Source organism: Homo sapiens, chromosome 22 (genome assembly GCF_000001405.40).
Source record: "Homo sapiens chromosome 22, GRCh38.p14 Primary Assembly".
Classification (NCBI taxonomy): Eukaryota; Metazoa; Chordata; class Mammalia; order Primates; family Hominidae; genus Homo; species Homo sapiens.
The window spans coordinates 18339130-18361705 of NC_000022.11; the positions used below are offsets into that span (position 1 = coordinate 18339130).

A 22576-nucleotide genomic window follows, 5' to 3' on the forward strand; every position below is an offset into this window, starting at 1 on the left:
GTGTCTCATGCCTGTAATCCCAACACTTTGGGAGCCTGAGGTAGAAGTTGAGGTCAGGAGGTCCAAGACAAGCCTGGGCAACATAGTGAGTCTACAAAAAAAATATTGAGAATCTACATAAATATAGTGGGGGTGGGGGTGGGGAACAAGAAAACAAAAAATTCAAAGCATAGTGAAAAGAAATATAGCAAAACCCAGCCGGGCATGGTGCCTCACGCCTGTAATCTCAGCACTTTGAGAGGCCGAGGCATGTGGATCACGGGGTCAGGAGATCGAGACCATCCTGGCTAACACAGTGAAACCTGTCTCTACTAAAAATACAGAAAAATTAGCCACATGTGGTGGCGGGTGCCTGCAGTCCCAGCTACTTGGGAGGCTGAGGCAGGAGAATGGCGTGAACCTGGGAGGCGGAGCTTGCAGTGAGCCGATATCGCGCCACTGCACTCCAGCCTGGGCGATAGAGCGAGACTCCGTCTCACAAAAAAAAAAAAAAAAGAAAGAAAGAAATATAGCAAAACACAACAAAAAAATTAAAATTTGCTGGGTGTAGTTGTGCCTTTAGTCTCAGCTACTGGGGAGGGTCTGCTGGAGGATCACTTGAGCCCAGGGGTTCAAGGCTGTGATTAAGCCACTGCACTCCAGCCTGGGTAACAGAGCAAGATCGTATCTCTAAAAAAAAAAAAGAAAAAAGAAAACACTCTCTGGCCACAGATGAGAGAAGGCAGACAGGAAGCCAGTAAGCCAAGCAGGCAGAGGGCAGGTGGCCCCAGCCCAGCTGTCGGGTGGTGAGCAGTGTCAGGGAGACAGGAGTGCCGGAGCTGGTGAGGTTCCCAAGGAGGTGAGGTTGCCTGTGGCCCCCTCCCAGGGCACAGTCCCACCCCTCCAGTAGTGCACTCTGTCCTCCCTGGTAGGTACAGGCTTTTCCCCACCACCATGGTGCAGCCATGCCTGCCCCCAACACCACTGGTGCAGCTCCATCCTCCACGCAGTGGTGCAGCCCCATCCCAGCGCCCATTCGAGCTGCTGTCCCATTGCAGGGGGCATTGTGACAGCTGAGGACCTGAACAACTACCGTGCTGAGCTGATCGAGCACCCGCTGAACATCAGCCTGGGAGACGCGGTGCTGTACATGCCCAGTGCGCGGCTCAGCGGGCCCGTGCTGGCCCTCATCCTCAACATCCTCAAAGGTGAGTGGTCGCACCACAGCCGTGTGGTAGGACCCATGACACTGCCTCTCTCTCCCCACGCCCCACCCCTCCTGCATCTCTGCTCGCCCCCCATGCCACGTCTTTCCATCACTGAGCTCCTGAGGTGTGTCCCTGCGTCACAGCTCACCATGTCCTGAAGGAGGCAGTGCAGAGCAACAGGGCTGAAGCGGGCAATGCTCAAGGGTTGGAGGAGGAACAGGAGTCATCAGGAGGGAGAGAGGTGCAGGAGCTCAGGGCTGCAGGGCCGGTCCAGAGGGTACCCCGGTCCAGTGGGTGACCCTGCCACTTGGTCATTGAATGGCCAGAGCTGATGCGTGACGTGAGGTCCAGGCTCAGGAGCCCTCACCTTACTTCACTCTCACCACAGCCTTCTGAAGCAGCTGCTGCTATTGGTTATTAAACGCTCCTTGAGGTGGGCAAAGTGGCTCAGGCAGGTGTTAACCCTCTGAGCCCCTCAGAGCCTCTGGGGCTCAGCAACATGCACCTGGCTCTGATCAACCAGGGTACAACTTCTCCCGGGAGAGCGTGGAGACCCCCGAGCAGAAGGGCCTGACGTACCACCGCATCGTAGAGGCTTTCCGGTTTGCCTACGCCAAGAGGACCCTGCTTGGGGACCCCAAGTTTGTGGATGTGACTGAGGTAAGGGGCAGGGGCTGGCTCACTGTGGGTGTGGGGCCTGCCGTAGAGGCATCAGGTGGGCTCCCCAGGGTGGCTACAGCCTCACATATGCTTTATGAATCCATTCCTGCCACAGAATTTGATTGCGGGCCTACTGTGTGCTCGGATGGACTCGTGGGTGACCCCCAGTCTTGGCTTCTGCCCCACAGAACTGACAGTGTGGGGAATTAGTGGCCACCCTCCTACCTCAGGTCCTTTGCACATGCTGTGGTTCTTGAGTGCTCAGTGCTGAGATGAGGAATGCATGGGGGCATTGCAGCCCTCGGGCATGGTGAGATGGATGGGTGAAAGGGAGAGGGCCAGGTGAACAGAGACCTCGGCCACCCACTCCCTGTCACTCCAAACTAACGCTTCCCAGATGCCACCCTCAGCCCTGCACCACCTGACCCACTCACCCAGTAGTTGCCCCAGCTCCATGCTGGGTCCCTATAAGACCCTGTCATATCCCTTCCCGCTGAGGATCCTCACATCCCTCCTTACCTACTTGGGTCCTTGGCATTCCTGGGCGGATCTGCAGACCCCCCCACACTGACCAGTGACCTCCCAGGAGGGGCGTCAGCTGCCCGGGTGGTGTCTTCTCTTTCCCTGTGAGCATTCTGCACCTCTGACTCCCGCTGCAGCCAGTGACCTGGTGTCTTGTCTCTCTAAGGGGACAGAGCCACTGCAGCGTGTCCCTCTGCCCTCCTTTTTGGCTAAGGCCAGGTCCTTCATCTACTCGCTGGCTCGGGGTGCTGTTCCTACAATGCTCCTGTCTGCCTCTGATGATTTATTTCTTTATCACGGATTATTCCCAAAAAAAAGGCAGCTGTTATTGCTCTAGAGACTTCTATCTGCTGCCTCCTTCTGTCCTTTGCTCCTCTTAGAGCAAACATGGCTGGGCTATGTCCTCTCTCCCTTCAGGGTATCCCCTCCCCTGCTCTATCCCCATGCCACCAGATCGCCATGTCCAGCCTCAGTTTCCCCATCAGGCCCCACTCAGCAGCATCTCACACAGCTCACCACACTCTCCTCGAGTTTTCATTTTGCAAATTTTCGCACCTACAAAAATGTAAAAAAAACCCAAAACTGCCCAAGCATCAATGTTCCCTTTTCCTGGATTCTGCAGTGTGGACATTTCTGCCGGATTTCCTAACTCTCTCCGTCTCCACCCACATCTATTGGGATTCGTGTTTTTCTGAGGGATTCCACAGTAGGTTACTGATGTCGCACCTCAGGGTGTGTCTCAAAAGTGAGACTTGAACATAGCACAGCAGGATGTCGGGGTGACACAACCTGCTGTCCCTTCTCTTTACCTACAGTAGGCTCCCTTGGCTGTTTTGTTTTTGTTGTGTTTTTGTTTGTACACAGAGTCTCTGTCATCCAGGTTGGAGTGCAGTGGTGTGATCTTGGCTCACTGCAGCCTCAACCTCCAGGGCTCAAGCAATCCTCCCACTTCAGCCCCCTGAGCAGCTGGGACCAGAGGCACGTGCCACCAAACCTGGATAATTTTTGTATTTTTTTTAGAGACAGGGTCTTGCCCAGACTGGTCTCAAACTCCTGGGATCAAACTGTCTTCCCACCTCAGCCTCCCAAAGCGCTGGGATTACAGGTGTGTTTTTTCTTTGAGACGGAGTCTCGCTCTGTTGCCCAGGCTGGAGTGCAGTGGCGCTATCTCGGCTCACTGCAAGCTCCGCCTCCTGGGTTCACGCCATTCTCCTGCCTCAGCCTCCCGAGTAGCTGGGACTACAGGCGCCCGACACTGCGCCCAGCTAATTTTTTGTATTTTTAGTAGAGACGGGGTTTCACCGTGATCGCGATCTCCTGACCTCGTGATCCGCCTGCCTCGGCCTCCCAAAGTGCTGGGATTACAGGCATGAGCCACCGTGCCTGGCCTGTTTTGTTGATTTTTAAAGCCCAGGGCAGTAGTCTTGGAAAATGTCCCACATCGTGGATTTGCCTTTCTGTTTCCTTGAGGGCAGATTCAGACAGAACACCTTTCCCTGGGATTGGTCAGCTAATCCGTGGGGTGTTGCTGAAACTTTATTTTATTTTATTTTATTTTATTTTATTTTATTTTTGAGACGGAGTCTCGCTCTGTCCCCCAGGCTGTCCCCCAGGCTGGAGTGCAGTGGCGGGATCTCGGCTCACTGCAAGCTCCGCCTCCCAGGTTCACGCCATTCTCCTGCCTCAGCCCCCCAAGTAGCTGGGACTACAGGTGCCCACCACCGCGCCCAGCTAATTTTTTGTATTTTTAGTAGAGACGGGGTTTCACTGTGTTAGCCAGGATGGTCTCGATCTCCTGACGTCATGATCCGCCCTCCCAAAGTGCTGGGATTACAGGCCTCGGCCTCCCAAAGTGCTGGGATTACAAGCGTGAGCCACCGCGCCCGGTGTTGAAACTCTCTTGAGGCATTTTCTTCGGCCTTCGGGTCCATCCTCTCTGTCTCCTCTTTGACCTCCTCATCTCCTCCTCGCCACTGCCTTGGGGACCTTGGCCAGGCTCATGGCATCCAGCAGCCACTCAATGTCAATACCTCCATGTTCATCTCTCAGCCCGCCCTTGCCCGTGAACCCATGCTTATTTATTTATTTTTTTTATACGTGCACCCATGCTCTTTGGGTCTGATGAAGTATCCAAAATCAAGCTCCTGACCATCCCCAAACCGGCCCCTTCTGCCGGCCTCGCTAGTCGGCACCATGCTTGATTCTTCTCTTTCTCCCACCCAGGCCATCATCTCTTGCCTGGTTGATACCCACAGCCTCCCCTTTGGGCTTTATCCTTATCCCCGTCATAGCTGCCAGAGGGACCCTGTGAAAACACTCCCCAGCCTCCTCATTCTTCTGCCCTAAGCCTGCATGGCACAGAGCAAAAGCCAGTTGTTATGGGACCTAGGAGGTCCTGTGGGATGGGCCCCAGCCTGCATCTTCATCCTCTTCTCCCCACCCCACTCCATTCACTCTCTGCCTATCGCTCACCAGCCTATACCACCTGCCTCAGGGCCTTTGCACTGACCATTTAGGCAACATTCCAGGCTCTTTTCACACGTTGCCTCCTCTGAGAAGCCCTCCCTGACCACTCTGCCCATACCTCATGCCTCTTGATTCCCCTTACCTGGCCTGTGGTTTCAGCACTTTCCCTGTGTGTGTTTGTTTTTCTTGGCATGAGGGCAGGACTTAAGTGTCTGTTCCCTGTTGATTCCCCAGTGCCAGGCATGCAGTGCAAATTCTAGAAATATTTTTTGCATGAAAGAATGAGTGATTGAATGCGGCAAGGGTCTGGAGGCTGAGGACCAGGCAGACAGACATTCAGAGTTGCTGGAACGCGACAGAGACAGGGAGTCAGACTGGTCATGCAAGGTCCTGGGCCTGCCCTTGGGTCCTGGGGAGCCACGGAAGGTTGTGGGTGCCAGAGGGTTGCGGTCAGAGTCACAGTCAAGGGCCTTCTGAGACCTGTGCCCCCTCCCCACCTCCTCAGGCCAGCTCTGGGGTCTCAGCAGGTGGTCCGCAACATGACCTCTGAGTTCTTCGCTGCCCAGCTCCGGTCCCAGATCTCTGACCACACCACTCACCCGATCTCCTACGACAAGCCCGAGTTCTACACGCCGGATGACGGGGGCACTGCTCACCTGTCTGTCGTCGCAGAGGACGGCAGTGCTGTGTCCGCCACCAGCACCATCAACCTCTAGTAGGGGCTGCTGGGCCGCCTGGGTGGGAAAGGGCCAGGGGCGGGTGGCCCAGGGACTGCCCACTTATCCAGTAAGGTGGCTCCATCACCTCTTTTCCTGGTGGGAAACTGAGGCCCAACCTTGGTAGCTTATCCTGGGCCTCTCAGTGAGTATGTTTGAGCCTCAGTGGGTGGATAGGGACCAGGCTGGGCCAGGCAAGGTCGGGTGCTGTCTGACCTGGCTGGGCGGTAGCTTTGGCTCCAAGGTCTGCTCCCCGGTCAGTGGGATCCTGTTCAATAATGAATGGACGACTTCAGCTCTCCCAGCATCACCAATGAGTTTGGGGCACCCCCCTCACCTGCCAATTTCATCCAGCCAGGTATGGGGTGGAGGTCCGGGGGGTGGGGGACTGGGGTGGAGAGGGGCGGGTGTCCTGGGCAGGCAGCTGACGGGCATCCCTGTCTTCTCCCATCGGCCGCAGGGAAGCAGCCGCTCTTGTCCATGTGCCCGACGATCATGGTGGGCCAGGACGGCCAGGTCCGGATGGTGGTGGGAGCTGCTGGGGGCACGCAGATCACCACAGACACTGCACTGGTATGTGTCACCCCTTTTCTCCCTGGCCCTGCCCACTCTGCACAGCCCCCAAGCCACGCTGATCACACTCCCATGCCCCAGGCCATCATCTACAACCTCTGGTTCGGCTATGACGTGAAGAGGGCCGTGGAGGAGCCCCGGCTGCACAACAAGCTTCTGCCCAACGTCACGACAGTGGAGAGAAACATTGACCAGGTGGGCCGGGGGTTGGAGAAACTGAGTCACGGTGTGGGGTCCCAGGGCATCCTGGGCTGGAGGCCTGGATCATCACAGAGTGGACAATGGTTGGTGTCCTCTCTCTAGTGCCTGGGCCATCTGGAGCCCCTGTGACATGAGGGCCAAGCCCCCTGCTCCAGTGAGACCCAGCAGGCCCCAACCTGCTCTTCCTGATGACCTGGCCTGAAATGGCACCACCTGGGCTGAGGCCTGTGACCACACAGGTGTGGTTCAGGTGGCATCTGGAGCCCTGCTCAGGCTTCCCCTCTCCTCCCACCCCCAGGCAGTGACTGCAGCCCTGGAGACCCGGCACCATCACACCCAGATCGCGTCCACCTTCATCGCTGTGGTGCAAGCCATCGTCCGCACGGCTGGTGGCTGGGCAGCTGCCTCGGACTCCAGGAAAGGCGGGGAACCTGCTGGCTACTGAGTGCTCCAGGCAGACAAGGCTGACAAGCAATCCAGGGACAAGATACTCACCAGGATGAGGAAGAGGACTTTGGGGGACGGGCTTCCCCTGTGAGCAGCAGAGCAGCATAATAAATGAGGCCACTGTGCCAGGCTCCAGGTGGCCTCCCTGGCCTGTCTCCCCACTCTCTGGGCCTCAGTGTTTTGTGTGTGAAATGGAGCCATCTGGCTGGGGAGGAACAGAGAGGTGGGATTCGGAGATCTTCACAATGCGGACACTGGAACTAGCCTCAGCATCTTCAGCATGGGGAGAGCCAGGCACATGGCTGGGGGCCAGGGGAAGGTTCACACCAAACCCTGCCCCTTCCCACCCTGATCCCTCAGACTTTGGGGCCAGGCCCTCCCTTACTGGGGCTGGGCAGTGACACTACCTAGGATCAGCCACCAGGGGGTGTCACGACCCTGGCGCTTTCTTAGGCAGAGGGTGGCCAGCCGATGCTGGGAACCCGGGCGCCTTCTCAGACCCGTAGGCGTCCAGCTCACCCTGCCGATGACACTGGAGGTGAAGCTGAGGGTCCGAGGAATGGGGACTGGGCAACAGGCTGGAGGAAAACATCTCGGTCAGAGCCATGCCCCTGGGGGGTTCCCAAGAGCAAGCCCAGAGTGAAACCCAAGCTTGTGATCCTCTCCAGAGGGAGGCCTGGTTCTCAGGGAACAGCAAACGGGAAGATGTCCCCAGATCCCAGGGATCAGGGCTTGGACCAGCCGGGGACGCAGCCCAGAGGGAGTGGGTCCGGAAGGAAACAGCTCGACACAGCAGCCTTCACCATCGGCAGCCCCTCCAGGCCTCCCTCGGGGCCTGCTCCCTCCTCTGTGCACAGTTCCAACACCTGGAGCAGGGTTCTGGGAAGGGCTGGTGGAGGTGGGCTGGTGGGAGGCGGTGATCACAGCCCAGCACCTGGATATCACCAGGGGCACTGGGGCCAGGGGCCAGGTGAGGCCAGGTCGGGGCTATCCTTCAGGAGCCCCGAAAACCTGGTGATTCCAAAGGGCCCATAGACAAACAGGGTTTTATGCCTGTGGAGTCAAGTCCCACTGGGTCTGAGCTCTGGAGGGCTGTGTCTCTGGGGCTCTGCAAGGGTGAGATGGAGGTGGGCTCAACTGGTGTACAAGTCACTCTTCAATCCTTATTTTATTTATTTAATTTTTTTAAAAAAAATTTAAACCAATAGAGATGGGGTCTCACTATGTTGACCAGGCTGGTCTTAACTCCTGACTTCAAGCAGTCCCCCCATCTCAGTCTCCCAAAGTGCTAGGATTACAGGGGTAGCCACTGCACCCGGCCTCAATCCTTATATTGGCCTGAGAGGAAAGGCCGTGGCCCCATTTGCAGGGGAGAAGACTGAAGCTGGAGGGGCAGGCCTTGCTCTGGGTTGCACAGCAGGAAGAGAAGTGGGAGCTGGCCACGAGGCTTCCTGGACCCGAAATGCTGGTGGGGTACACCCTGGTTCTCTAGGTCCCATGGGGCTCAGCCCAGGACTACCTCGGGGGGTGAGGGACTTAAATCGTCTCCTTCATTCTCATCGCCCCTTCCCCCATCATTTCCTGAGGAAGGACATTCAGGGACCTGAAGGGGTGGCCTGCCCCTCCCCACCTGTGGGTGTTTCTCATCAGCTGGGACAAGAGACTGAGAAAAGAAAGAGACACAGAGACAAAGTATAGAGAAAGAAAAGTGGGCCCAGGGGACCTGCACTCAGCATACGGAGGCCCCACGCTGGCACCAGTCTCTGAGTTCCCTAGTATTTATTGATCATTATCTCTACCATCTCAGAGAGGGGGATGTGGCAGGACAATAGGGTAATAGTGGGGAGAGGGTCAGCAGGAAAACACGTGAACAAATGTCTCTGTGTCATAAACAAGGTTAAGAAAAAGGTGCTGTGCTTTGATGTGCATATACATAAACATCTCAATGCATTAAAGAGCAGTATTGCCACCAGCATGTCCCACCTCCAGCCCTAAGGCAGTTTTCTCCTATCTCAGCAGATGGAATATACAATCAACACTGAGACATTCCTTTGCCCAGGGACGATCAGGAGAGAGATGCCTTCCTCTTATCTCAACTGCAAAGAGGCCTTCCTCTTTTACTAATCCTCCTCAGCACAGACCCTTTACAGGTGTCGGGCTGGGGGACGGTCAGGTCTTTCCCTTCCCACGAGGCCATATTTCAGACTGTCACCTGGGGAGAAACCTTGGACAATACCTGGCTTTCCTAGGCAGAGGTCCCTGCGGCCTTCTGCAGTGTTTTGTGTCCCTGCTTACTTGAGATTAGGGAGTGGTGATGACTCTTAACAAGCATGCTGCCTTCAAGCATTTGTTTAACAAAGCACATCCTGCACAGCCCTGAATCCATTAAACCTTGAGTCGACACAGTACATGTTTCTGTGAGCACAGGGTTGGGGCTAGGGTTACAGATTAACGGCATCTCAAGGCAAAAGAATTTTTCTTACTACACAACAAAATGGAGCCTCTTACGTCTACTTCTTTCTACATAGACACAGTAACAGTCTGATATCTCTTTCTTTTCCCCACAGGGACCTTCCTGGCTGTGCCTCGGGTCAGGACCAGAATGACACCCATTCATTTCCCTGGGCCTTTGCTCGGGCGGTCCCTGCACCCTGGCCTCTGCCTGACGAGGATGGTGGGGAGAGGAGGGGGACGTCCCCCACACTGCTGTCTCCACTGTTCCTGCTGCCCAGGCCTCTGGGCTTCCAGGACTGCAGCGGGTCGGTGGGTGGGCTGGCCTGAGCCCAGGAATGCACTTCAGCTCCTGGTTGAGCAATGTCACTGAGGCTTGGGAGTCGGGTGGGGGCGGGAGGAGGCGTCCGCAGGCCCCCCTACCGTGAGAGGCAGCCGTGGGAACAGCCTACCTCTAAACAATCACTGCAGCCCAGGCTGGCCAGGGGCTCTGGCCGGACATAGGGGCCTGGCAGGCTGTGTGCCCTGTAAGGACACAGTCTGTCTCTGTGCCTCAGTTTCTCTGCTGCCCAGATGGAGGGGCCCAGACTCCAGGTGTAGACATCTGGAGCAGGCAGTGTTCAGTTGGGGAGGAAGCGGGGAGGACTGTGGGGGCCATGTGGGAAGGATTCCACCCCACATCACCTGCACCCCTGCTGAGCCTGGTCAACGGAGCCCCTCAGTGGGTCCTCACTCCCCTGGTTGCCTCCCATTTAGGCACCCTGAGGCCTGGGGAGAACAGAGCCAGGCCAGTGTCCCCAGAGAGGCTGCGCTGCCAGCACAGTAGTAGCGGATTTGGATTCAGGGAAGCAGACCTGCAGCCAGGGTGGGAAAGAGCTGCAGGTGGGGTGGGGCCCCCACATGGCACAGCCCCCCTCCCTGGAGGACCATGCTGCATTTCCAGGACAGCAAGTCCCAGGGATGGATGGTGCCTGGTGCCAAGGGCTAGAGGCATGGTCTGTCTGCATTTCCCACGTAAGTGTCTCGTAGTCACTAGCATTTGATGCTGTCAAGACCCCCTGTCCTCTGTGCAGACTGGGAAGCCCTTGGTCACCCTGGGGGAGTTGGGGGACCCAGGCCAGGCTGCAGAAGCATAAGGACTTGAACCCGGGTCCTGAGTGACACCACCTTGGGTCCTCCTCCTTCTGCCTCTGTTCAGCTCCACCTTGATGCTGACTAGGCTGGGCCATGCGGAGAGGGTTAGGGGATAGAGATGGGAGCTGGGGAGCAGGGCTCCACTCTGGGAGGGGGGCAGCCTTGCCGGATCCAGGGCAGAGTTAAGCGGCCCCAGCTCTGCTTTCCCAGAGCTGCTGAGAACCTGGGGAATGGTGTGGAGGTTCCAGGGAGCCCTGCCCCTACCTGGCAACCGCAGTGCAGCACGCACCAAGTTCTCCTGCACATTGCGACAGTGTGACCATGGGCTCTGGTGGGCGGTAGGTCGGGCCTTTGGACCTACCAGCAGTGAGGGAGTTAACACAGCAGCTGACTTCTCTAGGCAAAGAAAACTCCCCTCAGACGCTTTGCTGCCTGGCCTCCTGCCAGGAACAAGCAGGAGCTGAAAACTAGAAGTTGAGGCATGAGTTTGGCCACTCCGTAGTGTGCACTTGGTGAGGGCAGCAGCTCGCCACAGCTGCCAGCCATCTGTCCATTCACCCATCTGTCCATCTGGCAGCCCGCTGTTCAGACCTGTCTGTCTGTCCGCCCATCTGTAAGCCCATCTCTGTCCCATTGTCTATCTGACCATCTTTCTCTTACTGTCCTCTTTGTCTAGCTATCTGGCCTGTCTGTCGATCCATCTTCGTGTCTGTCTTCAGCCCCCACCTGTTTGTCCATCTGTCCAATTACCTGTGAGTCTATCTATGCATCTTCTTGTCCATTCATCTGCCCACCCATCTGTCCCTCCATCTGCCCACCGGCCTCCCCTCTCCTTCTGGGCCGCAGAGCCATGGCCCAGGACTACGGAGCCATGGGTGACCTGGTCCTGCTGGGGCTGGGGCTGGGGCTGGCGCTGGCTGTCATTGTGCTGGCTGTGGTCCTCTCTCGACACCAGGCCCCATTTGACCCCCGGCCTTTGCCCACACCGCTGTTGCTGCTGACTCCAAGGTCTTCTCAAATATTGTACGGTGAGTGAGACGTGGGAGGAAGCTGGGTGGCCTTTGGCAGCCAGCCCCTCCTGGAGAAGGCGTGTGTGTGTGAGCATGTGTGTGTGTGAGAGATTATGTGTGAGTGTGTGTGGGTATATGTGTGAGTGTGTTTGTGGGGTGTGGGTGTGTGTGAATGTGTGTGATCGTGTTTGGGTGTGTGTATGTGTGAGTGTGGGTGTGTGTGAATGTGTGTGATTGTGTTTGTGTATGTGTGTGTGGGTGTGTGTGAGTATATGTGAGTGTGAGTGTGTGGGGGTGTGGGTGGGTGTGAATGTGTGTGATTGTGTTTCGCTGTGTGAGGGTGTGTGTGACTGTGAGTGTGTGAGTGTGGGTGTGTGGGTGTGTGTAAATGTGTGAGTGTGAGTATGGGGGGTGGGTATGTGTGAATGTGTGTGATTGTGTGTGGGTATATTTGTGGGTGTGTGTGTGTGTGCACGTGTGTGTGTGTGCACGTGCACTGGCCCAGGAAGCAGGAGCCGTGTGTGTGGGCTTCAGCACCTGCAGGGCTTGAGCGCAAGGAGACAGCCTCAGGGCCCTTGCACAGAACAGGCGGCAGGGTGTGCCCGTGGGGCAGATGGGGACTTGGGGACAATGGTGGTGTGTGAGTCCATACCTGGCTCCAGGATTCAGGAGGCCCATTTGCATATCCCAGGTGGGAACCTGTCTGGCCCCGCCTGACCCTGCTGGCCGGTGCAGGCCCCTTCAGTGAGGCCAATTCTCCAAGGCTGCGGTCTTCTCCCAGGGTCATGGGTGAAGGGGTTTGGAGGCTCCCTGCGTGGGTACTGGCCTGCTGGGGTACACACAATGCTGCCATAGCCAGTCTGCCCCTACACCCAGCCCGGGGCCACATCTCAGGTCTCTCAGTCCTGAGGAGCCCGGTGCCCCACCCCTCACATCCTCTCTCCCTGAGTCAGGGCCTGGGTCTCGTGAGCTGAGTGACTGATACTTGGTGTCCTGGATGAGGGCGTGGTGGAGAGGGGCCACAGCGGGTGTTTCCTGACCCTCTTCCAGGAAGGTGCTGCTGCCGCTGCAGGGAGGACACACACAGGATGCCCCTTCTTGCCCCCTGCCTCCCATTGGGCCCACAAAAGCCAGGGCAAGCCTCCCCTCCCTGCCAGCCACCTGGTCTGCTTCCCAGAAATTCTGTCTTGCAGGCTGTTGGGAGGATCCCAGTACTTTGTAAACTAAAGCAAGGGAGGAGTGGCCGTTCTCTCTCTTTGTTCATTCATTCACCTTTTCATTCATTCCTTCTTCCCTCCATTCCCCCATCTGTCCATCCTTCCCTGCCCTGATTGCTCATGCCACCCCCCCAGCCCCTCCTGACCTGGTCCTTTGGTTTCTCTTCAGGGCTTTCTGTCTCCTCCCACAGGGCTGAGAATGGCAGCTCAGGGACAAGTGGGGGCTGGGGACTGCTTAGTCTCCCCAGTGGCTCTCAGGGGATTTGAGGGTTTGACGTCAGCTGCCACCCCAGGCTGTGCCCCTCCTCTGCTCGGGAGGACATACAGAGATGCGACACCCACTTAAACTCGAAGTTGCAAAGATGCAAATGAGACTGGGGTCTCAGGCACCAGAGACCACCCGTGGGCACGTGGCTTTTGGGAGTGGGGACCTGCTGCCACAGATCTCTGAAGAGTCTGGACCTGCTGGGTCTCCCCGAGTGACTGTCTGGGGGTCTCCATAGCATGCCCTGCTGTGTGCGTGACGGTCACTGGTTGGGTAGGGGTCTCTACTCTAAAGCTCCCTCTGCCGGCATCCCCTCGAACTCTCCCTTGGTGAAGAGAGGATGTGGTTTGCCCCAGTGTTTTATCAAACAACTCTCTCCACTTCCAGTTTTAAGAAGCTGGGAGTGGAAGAGAGCCTGGGGCTGGCCCCAGCTGCTGCTGTGAAACAGGGGTCACTGGACGCTGGGACCCTGGCCGGGCTGGCTGGAGGCCTCAGGAAGAGGCCTGCTACAGCGTCATCCTGGCCAAGATTCCTCCCTGCAGAGGACCCTGGCCACGCTGCCACAGGGTCTGCTGGGGCCACCAGAAGCCCATGCTCCTGCCTCCATCTCTCCCCTCTGTGCTCACCTCTCACCAGGAGGCCCTCCCAGAGTTCAGTGTCCTGCTTTTTTTTTTTTTTTTTTTTTTTTTTGTGACGGTGTCTCACTCTGTCACCAGGCTGGAGTGCAGTGGCGCGATCTCAGCTTACTGCAACCTCTGCTTCCTCGGTTCAAATGATTCTCCTGCCTCAGCCTCCTGAGTAGCTGGGACTACAGGTGCCAGCCACCACGCCCCGCTAATTTCTGTATTTTTAGTAGAGACAGGGTTTCACCATGTTGGCCCAGGATGGTCTCTATCTCTTGATTCACCCGCCTTGGCCACCCAAAGTGCTGGCATTACAGGAGTGAGTCATGGCACCCGGCCTCATCTCCTACTCTTTCAGCACCAGGTTTTATTCTTGGGATTCTGCTACAGCCGGAGCCCCTGGGTGCGAGTTCCTAAGGTTTCTGTGAGTGTGGACCCAGCACCGTGCCTAGTAGACATACAAAAGGAGCATGGTGACAGTGAGGTCTGTCATCTCCAGCATAATGACTGTTTTGATCCTTGTAAAAAAGGTGATTTTTGGCTGGGTGTGGTGGCTCACACCTGTAATCCCAGCACTTTGGGAGGCCGAGGGGGGTGGCTCACTTGAGGTCAGGAGTTGGAGACCAGCCTGGGCAACATGGTGAAACCATGTCTCTACTAAAAATACAAAAATTAGCTGGGCATGGTAGCAGGTGCCTGTAATCCCAGATACTTGGGAGGCTGAGACAGGAGAATCACTTGAACGCAGGAGGCAAAGGTTGCAGTAAGCCAAGATTGCACCACTGCACTCCAGCCTGGGTGACAGAGCAAGACTTGGTCTCAAAAAAAAAAAAAAAAAAGAAAGAAAAGTTTATATTTTTGTTCTAATGCTTATCTTAATATCGTCATTCTATAATTATATGTTTTATATAATTATAATAGCTATATAAGATATAATACCCCTAGTATGTTGTTTTTTGGATATTCTACTTGCTCCTGATGGTTAATTTATGTGTCAACTTGGCTAAGCTATGGTGTCCTGTTGTTTGGTCAAATACTTGTCAATATCTTGCTGGGAGGTTATTTCATAGATGTGATTAACACTGACAGTCAATTGACTTTAAGTAAAACAGATTACCCACCATAATATGGGTGGGCCACCTCCAATCAGTTGAAGGCCTTAAGAACAAAAACTGAGGTTTCCCAGAGAAGCAGGAATTCTGCTTCAAGACTGTAACACACAAACCCTACCTGAGTTTCTGGCCTGCTGACTGCTCTACAGATTTTAGGTTCCAGACTTCGAGATCAACTCTTACCTGAATTTATAGCCTGCTGGCTTGCCCTACAGATTTTAAAACTTGCTAGTCCCCACAATCATGTGAGCCAATTCCTAAATAAGTCTCTCTCTATGTATAATCTATTGGTTTAGTTTCTCTGAAAAACTTTCACATTCCAGTTTCCTGGATGTTAAGAATTACCGAAACTAGCTAGTAACTTCTTTTTTTTTTTTTTTTTGAGACAGAGTTTTGCTCTTGTTGCCCAGGCTGGAATGCAATGGCACAATCTCAGCTCACCGCAACCTCCACTTCCTGGGTCCAAGCAATTCTCCTCCCTCAGCCTCCTGAGTAGCTGGGATTACAGGCATGTGCCACCATGCTTGGCTAATTTTTGTATTTTTAGTAGAGACAGGGCTTCTCCATGTTGGTCAGGCTGGTCTTGAACTCCCAACCTCAGGTGATCCGCCGCCTTGGCCTCACAAAGTGCTGGAATTACAGGCACGAGCCATTGCGCCTGGCTCCTAGTAAATTCTTCTTTTCTGTGATGTGTCCCTTACCTCTAATAATACTTTTCTTCTTAAAGTCTACTTCATTAAAAATAGTTATGCTGGGCATGGTGGCTCATGGCTGTAATCTTGGCACTTTGCTGGAGGTCGAGGTGGGTGGATCACTGAAGCCCAGGAGTTCAAGACCAACCTGGGCAACATGGCGAGACCCTGCCTCTACAAAAAATACAAAAATTAGCTGGGTGTGGCTAGTATAATTCTAAGTTGGCACACTTGTAGTCCCAGCTACTTGGGATGCTGAGGTGGGAGAATCGCTTGAGCCTAGAAGGGAGAGATTGCTGTAAGCCAAGATCACATCACTGCACTCCAGCCTGGGAGACAGAGTGAGGCTCTATCTCCAAAAAAAAAAAAAAAAAAAAAAAAAAAAAGTTATACAGCTTTCTTGGTTAGTACATGCATGACATATTTTTCATGATCTTCCACCTCTCTGTACCCTTATATAAAAGGCATTAGTTGGGTTTTACTTTATTTTCAATTATTTTAATTTTTATTGTCCTTTTAAATGTAACTAATGATTTATTTGGGTTGAAACCCACCACCAATTTGTTTTCCATGCCTATTCTATTTCTTCTTATCTCCTCTCACATCTTGTTTTGGATTTATTATTTTTATTATTTAATTTCCTCCTTCTCTATTAGTTTCATAACTGTGCAGTCTTAGAGTTCTTTTAAAAGATGACTGGATTATTTTAGAGCTTACAACATGCATCCTTCCCTTATCAAAGTCTAACATGAGCTAGTACTTTTTGTTGTGGTTGAGATAGAGAGAGTCTTCCTCTGCTGCCCAGGCTGGAGTGCAGTGGAGCAATCTTGGTTCACTGCAACCTCCACTTCTTGGGTTCAAGCAATTCTCCTGCCTCAGTCACCTGAGTAGCTGGGACCACAGGTGTGCACCACTATGCCCGGCCAATTTTTGTATTCTTTTTCAGTAGAGACAGGGTTTCACCATGTTGGCCAGGCTGGTCTTGAACTCCGGACCTTAAGAGATCTGCCTACCTCGGCATCCTAAAGTGTTGGGATTACAGGCGTGAGCCACCGCACCCAGCCTATGAGTTAGTACTTCTATCCTCTTCCTAGTCAGTACAAGAACCTTGGAACAGGAACTAAATTTACCCCCAGTGACTTATATGCTAATATTTTTGTGTATTTTAAATATGTGTGTGTGCATAGATGTATCTGTGTGTTTTTTGTGTTTTTATTCTTATTTATGTTGAGAGTGTAGAGCTATGTAAGAGTAAAGAGAATTGTGTAATGAAGCCCCGAGTATCCATTCAATTTCAACAACAATCTTATGGCCAAGCTCATTTCATGTATACTCTTTCCTGCTTCCCTCTACCCCACATTATTTCCGTGCAAATCCCAGATATATAACTGTACCCATACATATTTCAGTATGTTTTATTTCTTTTAAACCCCACAAGATATCATTTTCTATACTACTGTAATTTTATACCAATAACATTCATTTAGATTTACCCACACGTTTACCCTACCCTCCGGGTCCTGTTTGAAAATCAAGCCCATGCTCACAGGCCAATTTTTTTTTCTTTTAGAGACAGGGTCTCACTTTGTCACCCAAGCTGGAGTGCAGTGGTGCGATTATAGCTCAATGCAGCCTCCAATTCCTGGACTCAAGGGACCCTCCTGCCTCAGCCTGCCAAGTAGCTTGGACTATAGCTGTATGTTTTATTATTATTTTGTAGACATGGGGTCTGGCTATGTTGTCCAGGCTATTCTCAAAATTCCCGGCCTCGAGCAATCCTCCTGCCTCGGCCTCTCAAAGGTTGGGATTACAGGTGTGAGGCAAGGCACCCAGCTCAGCCACAGAGCCCTGTTGCATCTCTCTTACTAGGAGCAAGAGCTGACTGCCCCCTCATCCCCATTCCAGAGTGTTGGGGCTGTGTTGAGCCGAGGCCAGGCCACTGGCATGGCCCAAGGAACGGGATCATTCACTGCTGCCCCAAATCTGACATCATTCCACCTTGACAAGACTTCCTCATCCAATCCCTTTACTTGACAGCTGGGGAAACCAACGCGCACAGAGCACCCCCAGCTCACTCGGGGTCTCAGAGCTGATCCATGAGCAGAGGCTGAGATCCTGGGATCTTGTCCCCCAGCCGCCCTGCAAGCTTACTCCCTTTCTGCTGGAAGAGATGGGGCCGGACCTCAACCAGCAGCCCTGGCCTGGACATGACTGTGCTCACCCAGGTATTGAGGCCGAGATGCCCCGGCATCATATGTTTTTCTCTTATTTTTTCTTTTTTTTTGAGACAGTATCTCACTCTGTCACCCAAGCTGGAGTGCAGTGGCATGATATTGGCTCACTGCAACCTCTGCCTCCCGCTTAAAGTGATTCTCCTGCCTCAGTCTTCCAAGTAGCTGGGCCTACAGGCTTGTACCACCACGCCTGACTAATTTTTGTATTTTTACTAGAGACAGGGTTTCCCCATGTTGGCCAGGCTCGTGTCGAACTCCTGACCTCAGGTGATCCACCTGCCTTGGCCTCCCAAAGTGCTAGGATTACAGGCATGAGCCATGGCATCACTTAAACGTAGTGAGAGGCCGGGCAAGGGGCTCATGCCTGTAATCCCAGTGCTTTGAGAGGACGAGGCTGTCAGATCACCTAAGGTCAGGAGTTCGAGACCAGCCTGGCCAACATGGTGAAACTGTGTCTCTACAAAAAAATAGAAAAAAAAAATCCCTGCGTGGTGGCAAGTATCTGTAGTCCCAGTTACTCAGGAGTCTGAGGCATGAGAATTGCTTAAACCTCGGAGGCGGAGGCTGCAGTGAGCTGAGATGGCGCCACTGCACTCCAGCCTGGGTGACAGAGCAAGACTTTGTCTCTAAATAATTAAATAAATAAATATGGCCGAGCATGGTGCCTTAGGCCTGTAATCCCAACATTTTGGGAGGCTGAGGCAGGTGGTTCATGAGGTCAGGAGCCCGAGACCAGCCTGGCCAAGATGGTGAAACACTGTCTCTACTAAAAATACAAAAATTAGCCAGCTGTGGTGGCAGGCACCTGTAATCCCAGCTACTTGGGACACTGAGGCAGGAGAATCGCTTGAACCTGGAAGGCAGAGGTTGCAATGAGCCGAGATTGCACCGCTGCACTCTAGCCTGGGCGATGGAGCAAGACTCCATCTCAACTAAATAAATTAATAAATACAGAGCAAGATTCCATCTCAAATAAATAAATAAATGTACACCTGTAATCCTAGCACTTTGGGAGGCTAAGACAGGTCGATCACCTGACGTCAGGAGTTCGAGACCAGCCTGACCAATATGGCAAAACTCCATCTCTACTAAAAATACAAAAATTAGCTGGGCGTTTTGACGTGTGCCTGTAGTCCCAGCTACTTGGGAGGCTGAGACAAGAGAATTGCTTGAACCCAAGAGGTGGAGGTTGCAGTGAGCCGAGATCTCGGCTGCACTTCAGCCTGGGTGACAGAGTGAGACTCTGTCTCAAAAGGAATAAATAAAATACAAAGTAAAAAAAAATGTAGTAAGATTGCAGAGTCGTGCCGCAGAAGCGTGCTGGTCCTATCCATGTAGTGAAGGCTGATTTCATACACAAATGTCACAAGAACTTTTCTTTTCTTTTTCTTTTTTTTTTTTTTTGAGACGGAGTCTCACTCTGTCACCCAGGCTGGAGTGCAGTGGTGCGATCTAGGCTCACTGCAAGCTCTGCCTCCCGGGTTTATGCCATTCTCCTGCCTCAGCCTCCTGAGTAGCTGGGACTACAGGCGCCTGCCACCTAGCCCAGCTAATTTTTTTGTACTTTTAGAGGAGATGGGGTTTCACCGCGTTAGCCAGGATAGTCTCAATCTCCTGACCTCGTGATCCGCCCGTCTCGGCCTCCCAAAGTGCTGGGATTACAGGCATGAGCCACCACACCCGGCCTTCTTATATGCTTTTATTGCATTTGAGCGTACCTCTTTTACAGCGAAGATCTTTTTTTTTAATTTTATTTTATTTTTAGAGATGGAGTCTTGCTTTGTTGCCCAGGCTGGAGCACTGTGGTGTGATCATAGCTCACTGCAGCCTTGAACTCCCGGGCACAGGTGATCCTCCCACCTCAGCCTCCTGAATAGCTGGGACTACAGGCATGCACCACCATGCCTGGCATATTTTAAAGATGTTTGTAGACATGAGGTCTCGCTATGTTGCCAGGCTTGTCTCAAACTACTGGGCTCAAGCCATCCATCCATTTCAGCCTCCCAAAGTGCTTGGATTATAGGCATGAGCACTGCGCCTGGCCATCACACTGTTTTTTTGGTTGTTTGTTTGTTTGTTTGTTTTGAGATGGAGTCTTGCTCTGTCGCTCAGGCTGGAGTGCAGTAGTGGGATCTCACCTCATTGCAAGCTCCGCCTTGTGGGTTCACGCCATTCTCCTGCCTCAGCCTCCTGAGTAGCTGGGATTACAGGCGCCCGCCACCACGCCTGGCTAATTTTTTGTATTTTTAGTAGAGACGGGATTTCACCGTGTTAGCCAGGATGGTCTCGATCTCCTGACCTCGTGATCTGCCCGCCTCGGCCTCTCAAAGTGCTGGGATTACAGGCATGAGCCAATAAATATTTTTATAATCATTAACTACCGAGGAGAAGCTGGAGAGAAAAAAGGTGGATGAAGTTAAGGCAGAGAGACTTTGTAAGTTTCTTGGCTGAGCTTTTGGAGACTGTATATCAGAGATCCTATTTGAGGTGATTTTCAGCTACAGAGATAGGCCTGGTCATTTGAAAAATAACGGATTAGGTGAAGCTTGCGTTTGAAATCCTCCTTCTACTTTTCATCTTTCTCTCTTGTTTATTCTGAGCATCCATCTTAGACACCCAATCTTTGTCACTTTGTGGTTGTCATTGATTTCCCTGTTATTGAGATTAGAGGTTGGCAGACTTTCTCTGTAAAGGGCTGGAGAGAAAGTACTTCAGACTTTGTGGTCTGTGCGGTGTCTGTTGCAACCACTTAACTCTGCCCTGTAGAGCAAAAGCAGCCGCAGACAGTACATGGGCAGATGAGCATGGCTGGGGTCCAGTTACATTTACTTGCAAAAAGAGGGTTGGAGACTGGGTGCGATCTCCCACCTTTAATCCCGGCACTTTGGGAGGCCGAGGCAGGAGGATCACTTCAAGCCAGGAGTTCAAGACCAGCCTGGGCAACAAAGCAAGACTCCATCTCTACAAAAAAATAAAAATTATTATAGCTAGGCATGGTGGTACACACCCGTAGTCCTAGCTACTCAGGAAGCTAAAACTGAGGCAGGAGGGTCAGTTGAGCCCAGGAGCACGAGGCTGTGGTGAGCTATTATTGTGCCAGTGCACTCCAGCCTGGTGACAGAGCAAGAACGGTCTCGTCAAAAAATAAACAAAAGGCTGGGCACGGTGGCTCCCGCCTGTAATCCCTGCACTTTGGGAGACTGAGGTGGGCAGATCATGAGGTCAGGAGATTGAGACCATCCTGGCTAACACGGTGAAACCCTGTCTCTACTAAAAATACAAAAAGTTAGCCGGGCGTGGTGGCGGGCGCCTGTAGTCCCAGCCACTCGGGAGGCTGAGGAGGGAGAATCGTTTGAACCTGGGAGGCGGAGGTTGCAGTGAGCCAAGATTGTGCCACTGCACTCTAGCCTGGGCTACAGGGCAAGACTCCATTAAAAAAAAAAAAAAAAAACCAGCAAAAACCAAACAAAACATAATGCATGTTCTCTCTTATAAATGGGAGCTAAACATGGGGACTCATTGACTTAAAGATGGCAACAACTGGGAACTGCTGGATGGGGAGGGAGGGGAGGGGTGAAAGGCCAACTGTTGGGGAGTATGCTCATATCCACGTGACAAACCTGCACATGTGCCCGCTGAATCTAAAATAAAAGTTGAAAGTAGATTTAAAAAACCCCAAGAGGGCTGGGTTTGGCTTGTGTGTCCATAGCTTGTTAACCTCCGCTTTAGATATTAACGAATAGAAACATAGTGCTTAACTTCCCAGGCCACCTATTTTGTTCCTCTCCAAGGTGATGGATAGATGAAGGCCTTATCCAGCCGCCTGGAAGTTTGCTGACGCTTGTCCTGTCACGGATTAATGAAGCATTGTTTTCTGATGAAGGTTTCATGCCGCTGTGCTGATGTGTCTTCTCTTCTCTCTAGGCAGGAAACTGCATATCTTCTGGTTTACATGAAGATGGAGTGCTAATGGAAATGCCCAAAACCTTCAGAGATTGACACGCTGTCATTTTCCATTTCCGTTCCTGGATCTACGGAGTCTTCTAAGAGATTTTGCAATGAGGAGAAGCATTGTTTTCAAACTATATAACTGAGCCTTATTTATAATTAGGGATATTATCAAAATATGTAACCATGAGGCCCCTCAGGTCCTGATCAGTCAGAATGGATGCTTTCACCAGCAGACCCGGCCATGTGGCTGCTCGGTCCTGGGTGCTCGCTGCTGTGCGAGACATTAGCCCTTTAGTTATGAGCCTGTGGGAACTTCAGGGGTTCCCAGTGGGGAGAGCAGTGGCAGTGGGAGGCATCTGGGGGCCAAAGGTCAGTGGCGGGGGGTATTTCAGTATTATACAACTGCTGTGACCAGACTTGTATACTGGCTGAATATCAGTGCTGTTTGTAATTTTTCACTTTGAGAACCAACATTAATTCCATATGAATCAAGTGTTTTGTAACTGCTATTCATTTATTCAGCAAATATTTATTGATCATCTCTTCTCCATAAGATAGTGTGATAAACACAGTCATGAATAAAGTTATTTTCCACAAAAGGACTTTGCAGTTTTAACGGGGGGCAGTAGGGCTTGTGCTATAGAAATTCAAAGGCAAGGGAAGTCACTTCTGTTGTGGGGCCCTGGGAGGAGCCTCCAGGCTGGAAAGGCTTAAGGTGGAGGTCTCCGATAGGGGCAGCGTACACAGTGGACTGGCTGCAAAAGGCCGTGCTCAGCATTCAGACAGCATCACACACTCCGCTTTTCTCTACCAGGGAGGCAGGTGGGGAAGGATAGCGATGGGAAGGCAGGCGGAGCTCAGAATGTGGAAGGGGATCCAGTAAGGCTTGGAAGTTTGCACCTGATCTGGTGGGTGGTGAGGAGCCCTTGAAGGGGCAAGGAGGCGAGGAGCACTCAGCTGTGTTCTTACACTGATCTGCCACTGGGGTTAGAGACAAACGTGGTGGGAATGGAAAGCCACGCACAGTCACTAGCGCCTCTGGGGGGAGAATGGATGTGGCTGGTGAGAGAACAGGGGGGCCCAGGGAGAGTCCGGCACCAACCTGGGCGGGGGAG

At 52.9% G+C, this 22576-nt stretch overlaps 1 long non-coding RNA gene and 1 pseudogene across 1 annotated transcript, besides 1 other annotated feature; both read left to right on the forward strand.

The window, feature by feature from the left end:
• Positions 1034 to 6936, forward strand: GGTLC5P (gamma-glutamyltransferase light chain 5 pseudogene; annotated as a pseudogene).
• Positions 1064 to 1563: an enhancer, noted in NCBI's record as "H3K4me1 hESC enhancer chr22:20610495-20610994 (GRCh37/hg19 assembly coordinates)". NCBI's record gives its function as "activates a minimal SCP1, AML or CMV promoter by ChIP-STARR-seq in primed H9 embryonic stem cells {active_cell/tissue: H9 hESC(primed)}" and the evidence as "EXISTENCE:reporter gene assay evidence [ECO:0000049][PMID:30033119]".
• FAM247D (family with sequence similarity 247 member D) lies at positions 10847 to 22060 on the forward strand. Its single transcript, XR_951230.2, has 2 exons — positions 10847 to 11385; positions 21435 to 22060. It is a non-coding gene; the product is annotated as a family with sequence similarity 247 member D (long non-coding RNA).
• Positions 22061 to 22576: the final 516 nt, after the last annotated feature.